This window comes from Homo sapiens, chromosome 10 (genome assembly GCF_000001405.40).
Source record: "Homo sapiens chromosome 10, GRCh38.p14 Primary Assembly".
Classification (NCBI taxonomy): Eukaryota; Metazoa; Chordata; class Mammalia; order Primates; family Hominidae; genus Homo; species Homo sapiens.
The window spans coordinates 66,139,367-66,152,737 of record NC_000010.11 but is presented as its reverse complement, the minus strand read 5'-3'; the positions used below and the strand labels follow the sequence as shown (position 1 = coordinate 66,152,737).

The window sequence follows — 13,371 nt, the reverse complement described above, 5'->3', positions numbered from 1 at the left end:
TGCCAGAAGAGGTGATAATAGGAAAAAGTCATACTTTCTTTTTTATTTCAAAAATGCTCTTGAGGGTCATAGGCATAGTTTGCACAGCATTTTGAAAATTACCAAGAATCTTAGTTTAAAAACTTATACACTCTTTCTCATCTTAAAATCATTTTTAGTTATTATTAGACTTTGATTAATGTCTATAAGACATTCTGATACAGTGAATTCAGAATACATGTTGTTAGTTTTCTTTATATTGTGAAAGTATACATGAGAATTTTTATACTTTGTGTTGTTAGAACATTCTTAGTTTTCATTATTTTACTTTTTGTCCCATTATGTATATCTGTGCTTCCTGTTTTGGAAATATAATTTAGCTAATGAGTTGTATTAGTTATCAACTTCCATCATAGTATATCATTTACAATTAATATCTGTATTATCAGTGCCTGTATCTTTATTTTCTGGTATTTTTCCAAGTGCTTGTAAAATTGGATGTATATTTAACTTTCATGGTTATTCTAGCATTCTGCTTATTCATAATTCAATATCTTGAAAACATCTTCTGCTGTCTTAATATTTCTGTCAAGTTTAGTAGAATGTTTTTGAATGGTACTTATTTTTCCTTCTTTTTACAGCAGGAATGAAATGATTCTGTGTCAATTATGTAAAAATAATTTGTCATGGTTATATAAACAAGAATAAGCATAGATACAATATGATTTCCACATTCTTGGTTATTTGGATTATCTGAAATGATGATTTATAGGACTCCTTAAGTTCCCTGGCAGAAATGTAGCCACATAAATTTTATTTCTATAGCATTCAATCTATGTGTTCCAATATTAATATGATCCAGATGATTATCATTTCTAGTTAAATCAATGATTAAGCTATAACTTATTATTCAACCTAATTTTAAAAAGAATTGAAGCATGTATAGAAAGTGACTGAGGAATTGGTTGGTGCTTTTAACTCTGGTGTAGCTTAACTCAAACTTTAATATGTCAAGACATTTAAAGTTATTAGGAAGGTGCATGATATCATCCTTAGGGATGAGCTTGTCGTTCTTGTTTCCCTTCAGTGGCTGAAGAACAGAGGCAAGTATATCTCTTTTTATCAGATATTTACAGGAGATACTTCTATCTTTAGTACATTCTAGAAATCCAAAGATTTGTAAGTGAAGAAATCCTTTCTTGCTAAATGAGTCACGTGTGACTCATTTGTTATGAAACTTTTGAATTTGGTCTTTTTAAATTTCATGTTACCAAACATAAGAAAACAAACTGAAGAGCATCAGAAGTAAATATCCTCAAAATTCTATGGATATTCCATGTGTCATTATAACTCCTAATATTTGCACATACTATTATCATTTTTTAGTTAAAACATTTTCCTTTTTCTCTTTTAAGAAAGTCTCTGAAAGCTATGTCAGATGTGAGCTTCTTCGTGAAAACTTTATCTTATCTCAGCCCTCCTATCACACTTCCTTCAAGCTAGAAGTAACCAGTCCTTCATAAGTTGTCCCCATAGTACTTTATCTAAATATCAATTTAGACATGACATTCTGAATTACAATTAAGTCTTTTCTTGTCTATTTCTGCCACTAGATTGAATACATATTATATTACCAACTCTTGAACCAATTATTGACATCTTATGAAGGAATAAAACATATTTGCTCAAGTGATGAATCAATTTTATAATTGCATTTTAAAAGTTTATTAAATACAGTTTATACTTCGTAAGAGAAATGCAAATATATAAATTAGACAAGGACCTAATAATGGATTGAAGCCACTGAAGGGAAACAACTCAAGAAATACAGTCCCATCCCTTATTAAAAATAATTGTATTGTACACTTACAATGCTACACTGTATAGCATAACATTATTCCTCAGTAAAAGTATTAAAAGATAAGTTTTTACCTTAAGAAATCAGGTTTAAAACAAAAATATGTGATTATAATGAACTAGAAAATCAGCTAATAAAAATAAATGGAATGATAAGTAGTTTTACCTGAGGAATAAGTAGTGTTCAATAGCATTATAGGGTAACTATAGTTAATAATAATCTATTATATATTTCAAAATAGAAGATATTTAGAATGACCCCAACACAAGGAAATGATAAATGCTTGAGATAATGGATATCTTAGTTACCCTGATTTGATCATTACACATCGTATGCTGGTATCAAAATATTACATGTAGCCCATAAATATGTATGACTATTATATATCTATAAAAATTAAAAATAAAAAAATAGAAAAAAATTAAGCTATTTTTTTAAAAGACCATAATAGATATATTTTGGCAAACACCATTGTATTAGTCTGCTTTCACACTGCTGATAAAGACATACCCGAGACGGGCAATTTCCAAAAGTAGAGGCTTAAGGGACTTACAGTTCCACATGCCTGGCAAGGCCTCACAATCATGGTGGAAGGCAAGGAGGAGCAAGTCACATCTTACATGGATGGTGCCAGGCAAAGAGAGCTTGTGCAGAAAAACTCTTGTTTTTAAAACCATCAGATCTCATGAGACTCATTCACTATCACGAGAACAGACCAGGAAATATCCACCCCCATAATTCAATCACCTCCCACGGGGTTCCCCCCATGACACGTGGGAATTGTGTGAGTTACAATTCAAGATGAGATTTGGGTGGGGACACAGCCAAACCATATCAACCATTATGGAAAACAAAGAAAAACCAAAATAAGTTCATTGTGGATTAGAAAGATTATGAAATAATAATCCAAGTCCATTGTTAACTCAAGGACATTTAGAAACCATAAAGAAGGAAAAGAAAAACTTTTATTGAAGTGTGGAAAAACATATTGAAGAATATTTACCATTACAAATAAATACAAGGGCCTGATACTTTTATGGTTTAATTTTTTTTGCTATAATAATGAGATAGTTTATTCCATTGTTTTTAAAGTGAAAGACTATAAAAATGGATGATACTCAGCTTAATTTAATTTATAAAGAACTGTAATTTTAATAATCTGAAAAAGATGCATAAGAATGTAAACTACAAACTAATTTTACTTATGATTAAGAATGCTACCATTCTAAATAAAGTAAAAGTATATCAAATTTTACAGTGCAATAAGAATATCATTTGTGATCAAGAATACTTTATTTTAAAAGTGTAAGGGTGTTCATACATTAGAAAAACTAACAGTATAATTGATAAAAACACAATAAAAGAAGAAAAATATAATTGTATAGTGAATTCCACAAAATGATTTGATTGAATTCAGTACCCATTTAACTAATGAAGTTATTAGTTAATAGTTATGGCTGGCTTAATTGGATATTTACATGGAAAACAAAAAACTGACAGCTACTTACAATGTTCAATAATAATTTTTAAAGAAATTAATAATCTAAATGTGCAATTATATATGTTGACTTTAATCTTATGTATAATGAACATTCCTTATATTTAAATATACATATGCATATATTTTAATGATATGGCTAACTATGCAGTTAACTATAAATATAGAGTTATATATATTTATATATTATATATTATAACTAGTTATAATTAACTATATAGTTAACTATATTTAGCTTTATATATACATATATATGCGTTAGATATATATGCATTTATTCATATTTAGATATATGTGCACATAATTTTACTATATAGTTAACTATAATTGAACTATAAACTATAACAAGTATTGTTAACTACGTAGTTAAATTACAGTTAATTATAACTATGTAGTTAAATTATATACATAAATATCTAAATATAATGCATGTTCATTACATGTAAGGTCAAAATTAATGTATATAACTGTACATTTAGATTTGTAATCTATTTAAAACTTATTGAATATGATAAGTAGCTGTCAGTGTACATATATACATAGCATATAAATATATATTTAGTTTTAAAAGCTAGTAGTTACTATTTGTGCAACATTTTATAAATACATACACACATAATGCCTTAGCCTGAACCTGCTCCTGCTGCTATAACAAATTACTTTAGAGTGGATAATTTATTTATTTATTTCTCATAGTCCTGGAGGCTGAGAAGTACAAGTTCAAAGACCCAGCAGCTCTGGTGTCAAATGAGGGCTCTCTCCCTGCTTCAGAGATGGCACTTTCTCACTGTATTCCTCATATGGAGGAAGCAGGAAGTACTGTATCCTCACATAATGAAAAGGGGAATGCTGTGTTCTGGCAGAATGAGCCAAAGGGACTCCTTCAGTCACTTTGATAAGGGCACTAATCCCATCCTCGAGGGCAGAGACCTCACGACTAATCACTTCTGCAAACATCTCACCTATTCATACCAACACCATGGGGATTAGATTTCAACATGAATTTTCGAGGAATACATTCAAACCATAGCATATATATATTATTTTTAAAAACTAGTAGATACTATTTGTGCAACATTTTTGTGGTGAGATTTTTCTTAAACAAGCCAGGACTGGTTTACATAAAATATAACTAAAAATATAGGCAATACTATACTATAAACAGAGTAAAAGAACAAAAAATTGACAAGAAAAATGTTTTTATTGTAAATGACCCGACATTAATGCCCATAATATATGACAAGCTCCTGAAAATACTAAGAAAAGCAAATGATTCATCAGAAAAATGGAAAAGTAAATTACAGAGAAGGAAAATATTTGAGCAATAAGGATATGAGTTTCAATTCTGTTTACAATCAAGGATATAGGAAATAAAACAATAATGAGCTGCCTTGTATCACCCTTCAGAAGAACAAAAATGGGGATAGCATCTAGTGTGACTAAGTATATGGTGATGTGGATTTTGATAAATTAATAAACTAGCAGTCTCTATACAAATTAAAATTGAATCCAGAGTTCAATTTTTATAAACACATCTTACATACTTTTATAAGCATATTAATATACATACATGCTAATATAAACATAGCATACTATACATACATACTATACATACATACTATACATACTATACTAAACATAATATGCATACTAATATAAACATATTTTACATACTTTTATAAACGTATCTTACAGGTATAAAACAGCCACTAAATATAGATATATATTGAAAGGTATTTTTCTACTGTTAAGAGCATTGGCGCAACAACGACAAAAAAAAAAAAAAAAAAAAAACTGAAAGCAACCTGAGTGTCCCTCAAAAGGCTGTCTGAAATACCATGGTACAGTTATTCTATGGAGTATTATGTAGCCTTTAAAAATAAATGAGGGAGAGTCATCTGTTGTTCTACAAACAAAGAGATGATACTACAGATGCATAAAACACCTGGATAAAATGAGAACACTATATATCATATCATTTTGATTATACTTCAGAGACTGAGAAAGGAGGACAAGTGGTAAAATATTAGTTCTTTTTAATCTTTGCAACTTTTGTTACAAACAACATGAATTATAGCTGTACTTTAAAAATCTAATAGAAACTTTTTTTAAAAAAGAAGAATATTGGGCATTTAATTATATTTCATAGAATGATTGTCCCTGAATCATATTACCGATAAGTTCACTATTACAGAGATAATTTCTTAATACTTAGAAGAGAGACACTTTCTTCTATTTAAGGTTAATCCTGTAAATTCTTCTCTGGTAATGGCACTGTTCCCCATACCCCAGATTTAACAAGAGAGATATAAATATAATAATAATTAAAACATGAAGCAACAAAACAGCAACCAAAAAATTTCAACCTTCAAGAGCAATTTAGAAGGTTTATATCCTCAGAACAAAAGCATTTCTTTCTGACTTTCTAACCAGTCAAAATTTGCATATTCTACAGGAAAACTTTTCATATTATTTCAACAAACTGCCCTTTACTGCTTCTGCCTCTATCAGATCTCCTAAGTACTAATATTTTCCCTGGTTAAAAATACCAGGTGTGGTGGCTCATGCCTGTAATCCCAATACTTTGGGAAGCTGAGGCGCGTGAATTGCTTGAGCTCAGGAGTTTGAGACTGGCCTGAGCATCATGGTGAAATGCTGTATCTACAAAAAATACAAAAATTAGCTGGGCATGGTGGTGCAGGCTTGTAGTTCCAGATACTCAGGAGGCCAAGGTGGGTGGATCACTTGAGCCCAGGAGGCAGAGGTTGCAGTGACCTGAGATCATGCCACTGCATTGCAGCCTGAGTTACGAGAGTGAAACTGTGGCTCAAAAAACCAACCAACCAAACAAACAGAATACATGCTTTATTAACAGAGTGCCATTTGTCTTATCCTATTGTCTGTAATTGTCTTTATGCTGGACCCCAACTCATATTCCTTTAGATCCTATGTGGTGTCCAGAGAGTGGGAGAGGTCTAATGAATACTTGCATGAAAGTTTGGAGTAACTCCTGTTAAATAAAGTATCTATTACTCAGTGTAAACCAGATCATATTCTACTGAGGCAGGTCTAGTTCTTTTTATTATATTAGATTTACACTGTTGTATTTTATTCAGTAGAGGCAGTTGCTACTCCTGGTTTGACTAGCTTCAGCCATCTGAAAATGACCTGGAAGGGCCAGTATTTTGAATTTTACTAAGACTCAAATTTTCACCTCATAGTATAAAGCTGAGATATAAAAAAGCCACTTCGGCCGGGCACGGTGGCTCATGCCTGTAATCCCAGCACTTTGGGAGGCCAAAGCAGGTGGATCACAAGGTCAAGAGATCAAGACCATCCTGGCCAACATGGTAAAACCCTGTCTCTACTAAAAACACAAACATTAGCAGGGCTTGGTGGCGCGTGCCTATAGTCCCAGCTACTCGGGAGGCTGAGGCAGGAGAATCGCTTGAACCGGGGAGATAGAAGTTGCAGTGAGCCTAGATCATGCCACTGCACTCCAGCCTGGCAGCAGAGCAAGACTCCATCTCAAAAGAAAAAGAAGGAAAGCCACTTAGTGAGTGAGTGCAGCTGATAACCAGCATTCATGTCTCATTTTGATTCTGCATCTCTATGTGTATCTATGAATAAGCAGCAATGCTTATGAAAAAAAATAAAAAACACTTAATGAAGAGAAACAAACCCAGATGACCCTGGAGGCTCATTCCCTTCCCTGTTACTTGCTTTGCAATAAGCTGGCTCAGCAGGTCCAAGTTAGTGCAATGAAAATGACTGCTGTTATCAGGCATTGAGAACCAGTGGTTACCTCTTTCCACAAGACCATTTTCTTCACCAAGAAGGACCTATTTTTACATAGTCATTTAGAGTAGAGAAACCCTTCCCCACTTTCTCTATAAATGATATATAGAGATATTTGGGTGTCAGGAACTCTTTCCTGGAGTCCTTTCAATGATATATTTAAAGCAACTATGCCCACTGGGGCAAAGCAAACCTCTCTGGGGCATAAGGACAGCTTCATGGGCCTCTCTGCTACTTCCATATCTGTAGGCTTTCTCTATTCCACTCTAGTTTACCTGTACATGATATGGTGCTAATGTACATTCCCCTTTGTCTTTGTGTGGAGAAGGGCCTTGGAAAGGAAAGCCATGTGCTAGAGCTGTGGAGTAGCCCTTACAGGTTTTAGAGTCTTGAACGGCATATGGATATACTTCAAAGGATGGCTAAAAGGCTATTCTTTTGATTCCTGGTAACTAGTAATAAATACTTAGTAGTTTGTAGGGTCTCCTTTATGAATGAAGATGTCTATATACTGATATGAGTTGTTCATAAGGAAATATTATTAAAGAAAGCAAGGGAGAGAATAGTGTATATGCATAATATAGAAGCTACTTTTTATACAAAAGTAGGGGTATACAAATATGCATTTCATTACATTTTCCTAAGAGAAATACTGAAATAAATAAACTAGTTATAGAGTTCCCTAAAAGTATGCATATGTGGAAGGGGAGTGGATACTGGAATAGAAGGCAATTTTGGTATTGAGACTTCTCCATATATGTCATTTTATATAGCATTAACTGACATTAATGCCTGCCTATTAAAAAATTAAATAGAAGGCTGGGTGTCATGGCTCACGCCTGTAATCCCAGCACTTTGGGAGGCCAATGCGGGTGGATGATCTGAGGCTGGGAGTTTGAGACCAGCCTGACCAACATGGAGAAACCCCGTCTCTACTAAAAAATACAAAATTAGCTAGGTGTGGTGGCTGGTCCCTGTAATCTCAGCTACTCAGGAGGCTGAAGCAGGAGAATCACTTGAACCCGGGAAGCAGAGGTTGCAGTGAGCGGAGATTATGTCATTGCACTCCAGCCTGGGCAACACGAGCGAAACTCTGTCTCAAAAAAAAAAATAAATAAATAAATATAAATTAACCAGCCAACACCATATATTTTTCTTAAGATGGTCGAGGCTACAAATACATTATTAATTAAATTCCTAACATTTTCAGAATTTAGTAATGTTTCCTAACATGCTAAGTTTGATAAAAAGATAAAATAAAATAAGCAATACATGTATAAATTCTGCATAGATTTGTATAAGTGACTGAAAAACTATTTTCTTGCATAACCATGGAAACAAAACATAAGTATTTGTGTAATCTGATTTCAATTTAAGAAAAAATGCATGAGGTAGTTGCGATAAATTCCATTTTGCTCTCAATTCTATGCCCAAACTGTAAGAAGAGATTTTAGAGATGCTGCAGTAAAAAAAGAAATCACAGAAATGCAATAAAATGCAGTGAAGTCACGAAATAACAAAAATAAATTGTCTTAGCAACAACAAAAAATAGAATTCTATCAGGGCATAGAATTATTTTGTGTGTATTTAAAGGTCCCATGGGGGAAAACAGTACAATCATTAGATTATACTATGACATATTTTAAACTTATAATTGAGTTATTAATAAAGCAGCCATCCTTTTAATTAAGCACCTAAATCAAGATTACATTTTTACATTAGAAATGTCATATGGTTTAAAGTTTTAAGATAAATCAGACTCTGAAAATTGTAACATATATATCTTTAAAATTCACATTAAAGTGTCTGTGTGGCAAAGGGAATGGAATAAGTGGAAATAACTGGTCCTGGGACCACCTGCGGTTAAGGTATTACTTTGGTAGTTTAATTGAAATCTCATTGGTCCACCCCTGTCTCCTCATCCTCAGAACTTCTTCTACAGAAATGTTTTAAAAGGAATTAGAGGAAGTAATGAAGCATAAGAAAGTCATTTCATTTATCTCTGTTTAAGTTATTGTAGCCATTTAAATTAAATTTGATTTGTGGTAGCTTTAAACATTTTAGTTTTGCTTAATTAATTGTGAGTAGAAACAAGATTTGTGGCAGAACTGCTGTGTGTAATAGACAGAGGGATGATATATTTGACGACCAAACTGGAAAGTGACAGTTTTACTTTATCAGTGCCATAAGTTCTCCTGGGACCTATTTCAATTTTTCAGCAAGAAACTTAAAAACAATTATGGACCAGTTAGCCCTCTGAAGAAAATTTTTTAAAAACCTGATTTTAATTTTATAAAGTATACTCCTTTCTATTTCAGCGGCTATTGCTTGGTATCATAATATCAAGCTTTAAAAACACTGAACTAACTCTATGCTTTTTTGGTACTGTAAGCATATTTTGATCAATAATGCATATGTATTCCAATTTTTCAGGATAGCCAATTTCTGTCAAATGGTTCATATTTTTATAATTGAGTTCCATAATAATGGTGGTGGTATATTCTATTAGGAAATATATGAGACCAGATATATTAAAATATTTTTCCAATAAAATACATAAAGTATTGTATATTACACTGTCAGAAATTTAGTGTATTTAACTGCTTAAAATGGATTGCTATTCTGGAAGCAGAGCCAGAAATCAGAAACATTTGAGATGATCTACTAAGTATTATTCACCGCCTTAAAAAGACACAATCCTTTTAACTTTTCTTCCTCTGCAACTGACTTTTTCTTTCCATATGCTTGTCTTATTTATTATTTTTATACTCTGCTCTTTTCCTAGAAAATTTCTGCCAGTAATACCTATAGCATTAGAATTCACTGAAGAAAACTACCCAAAAACAAGTATTATGCATTGTGGTGAGGTCTCTAATTCTTAAAATGTCTTTGAAATATATCAGTTTTAACCTGTGATTTATGGTTGTTTAATTGCTGTCACAGTGTCATAGCAAAAGGTTAATGTTGGAGCTGAACAGATCTTGTTTAAATCCTGTTTCAAAACTGGCTCTATTATTTCCAACTTGATCTACACATTCAGTGTAATCCCAATCAAAATCTCAGAAAGTTATTTTATTGACAAAATGACTTGAAAGTATATATGTAGAGTTAAAAGACCTGGAATAGACAAGACAATATTTAAAGAAAAGAAAAAAGTTGGAGGACCAACATTGAGTTCAAGACTTACCATAAAGCTTCCATAATCAAGACAGTGTCATACTGGTCAAATAATAGACAAATAAATCAATGGAATAGAATACAGAGCCCAGAAATAGACCCAACTAAATAAAGCCAGCTGACCACTGATGAAAGAGTCAAGGCAAAACAATGGTGAAAAGATAGTCTTTTCAACAAATGGTTTTGGAGCAACTGGATATCTACATGTAACAAACAAATGAAAAGAATTTAGACACAGACTTTATATGCTTTACAAACACTAACTAAAAATGGATAAAGACCTAAATAAATATACAAACCTATAACATTTCTAAAAGGTAGGAGAAAAATCTAGGTAAACAGCTTTGGCAAAGACGTTTTAGGTACAACACCAAAGCCACGATCCATGAAAGAAAGCATTGATAAGCTGGACTTTATTAAAATGTAAGCTTTCTGCTCTGTGAAAGACACTTTCAAGAGAATAAAAAGAGAATCCACAGACATGGAGACAATAATTGCGAAAGACATATGGGATATATCTTTAATAACCTGGGCTATCCATCTTCTCTATAAGGAAACATCTGCCTCAGAATACACATTATCATCAATTTGTTGGCAATGCTTGAATTCGAATAGACAGTGTTTTGCTTGTTTTACTGTTTTCAGTGACTCTCTAAGTACAATTTTAAGTCAACCTCTCTTATATGTGCTGTTATTTTGGGGATATTTTGTCACTATCAGATGAATAAATTATTTATCGTTTATATAAAATCAATTCACTGGAGTATGACAAAAACAATAAAACTTTAATCTATATTTATCTGTACCTCATCCCTCCAAATCTCACTTAAATATGTTGAGGCAAGTTAAGATACATCTGTCTTAGGATGGAGATTTTCTCCATAATTGGAGAATTTTTATGTCTCTGATCTTGGCAAATTATATGTTGATTTTACAGTTTAACAATTGTTTAACTGTTTGAGGATATCTTCATTCAATCCTAAATTCTGGGGAGTCATCTCTTTGCTTTTTTTTGGTATAAATAACAATATTCTTTAATGTAAATTTTAACCTCAAACATTCTTGAAATTTTAAATATTAAACTAATTACTGTTAAGCAAACTATACTGCAATTAAACATTTTCTCAGAAATTTTTCTTTCTTTCTTTCTTTTTTTTTTTTTAATCTGAGACAGAGTCTTCTCACTCTATTGCCAGGCTAGAGTCAAGTGGCATGATCTAAGCTCACTGCAACTTCCACCTCCTGGGCTCAAGCAATTCTCATGCTTCAGCCTCCTGAGCAGCTGGGATTACAGGCATGCACCACCATGCCAGGCTAATTTTTGTTTTTTTAGTAGTGTTGGAGTTTCACCATGTTGCCCAGGCTGGTCCTGAACTCCTGAGCTCAGGTGATCCTCCCGCCTCGGCCTCCCAAAGTGCTGCGATTATAGGCGTGAGCCAGTGTACCCAGACTCAGAAAATTTTCTATTGAAATGTTCTTAGATTATGATGTTTCTTAAACCCTGCTTCTCCTCAAGTATCATCACAACCAACAGCAACAACAATGACAAAATCTCTTAAATAAAAACATAAAGAAGCATAGACTAAAGTAAGAGAGAAGATACTCTCCATGAACTATCCAAGCAATTAAGAAGAAAAGTCAGAACTACTTCTGTTATAACAAATTGTTTAAAAATAACAACTGGCACTTCCTCACATAGGTCTTTTACAAATGAGTTGGCTGCATTTCCTTTTTAGCCATGCAATGTGGGATTTGCAGAATAGGACAGAATGTTCCTAAAGAGTTATTCAGGTATGTTGTTCAACAGTGACCAATAAACAATAGGTCATTTTATTGCTAGGAGAGAACAAATACATAAAGACAAATGGAAACCCCAATACCTAACGACATTATGAATAGGGCTTAAATCATTAGAAAGATAAAATTAGAGAAATCGTAACATAGATCTCTGTTCTTCAGGTTAATTGTATTATAAAATGTCAGGAGACTAAATTTTTTCTCTACTTTGCTCGTGGATTGTTTATACTCTTGAAATGCATCTTAACATTACCTTCCTCAGAGTTCACTATACCTCAAAGATACCAGATACGATTACATTGGTACTTAACAACATTCATCTGGAAAGAATTGAAAGGAGGAGGGATTAATTAATCTCCTTGAAGGGGGTTTACTATTAAGTTAAATTGCATTTCCTCTGGTTCTCTGCTTTTGGTGCAAAAATTTGAAGGATGAGGAACAACTAATAGGTTTTCTCTCTTTAGGATTTCTAAGCTCTCTTCATGTTATGTGGCGATTAGTTAGTTAGAATTTTGGTCCCTACTCTGTGCATAAATGGAGCTGCTCAAAATCTCAACATATCTGAAAGTTTTATAGCTGCTTTAATGATTGCTATGCAACATGCCAGACATGGAGCGTGCAGTTACAAGATACTCATATTCACTAATGAGGCCACCTTCAAAACCACAAAAGCCCCCATTGCCACATACCCAGTTGATCCTCCTAGTCCCTTTACAAAATCATCAGGAAAAGGGAGAACCGGACGAAGGCAAAGTCTCTTTATTGGAGTTCAACCCAGGATATTCCCTTCTTGTTTGACCTAAACATCATCTCAGGATGACTGAGGCTGGATTTCTATGTACAAACTACAGGCCTGTCTGCCTGATTCCCGCCCAGAGCTGTATAATGCTTGCAGTGTCTGTCCATGTCCTTCACTTGAAAAATATGACACAATGAGAGGGACAATTATGATGGTCTATTGTAGTGTGAGAAATGTCATAATTTGAATATTTTTATAAAAATACATATAGGAGAAAAGGGGGGAACACAACCCTCACTCTCAAAATCTAAAAGTGACTTGTAAAACCTAGAAAGCAAGAGTTGGGAAACCTCTGAACACACATAAAGAGGCTTTCTTTGAAGTCATTAGCAGGGTGTGTTATTAATAATAAATTGAATCAAGAGTATTGTAGTCAAAGAAGGGCCTTGCATTTGACAGGGAAAAATCCAAGGCAGTACATGGTTGTAAGCCATTCATATGACATATGAGTGGCTCTTAGGAGCT

At 33.0% G+C, this 13,371-nt stretch overlaps 1 protein-coding gene and 1 long non-coding RNA gene across 11 annotated transcripts in view; one reads left to right on the top strand and one right to left on the bottom strand.

Moving 5' to 3' along the window:
• The window catches only part of CTNNA3 (catenin alpha 3), a 1,851,072-nt gene that overhangs the window by 1,610,857 nt on the left and 226,844 nt on the right, over nt 1-13,371 (top strand). The window lies entirely within an intron of this gene.
• Nucleotides 8,189-13,371, bottom strand: part of CTNNA3-AS1 (CTNNA3 antisense RNA 1) — a 65,310-nt gene continuing 60,127 nt past the window's right edge. For all 3 annotated transcript variants that reach the window (XR_007062172.1, XR_007062171.1, XR_007062170.1), the window contains exon 5: nt 8,189-8,226. This is a non-coding gene — a long non-coding RNA (CTNNA3 antisense RNA 1). The remainder of the gene's footprint in view (nt 8,227-13,371) is intronic.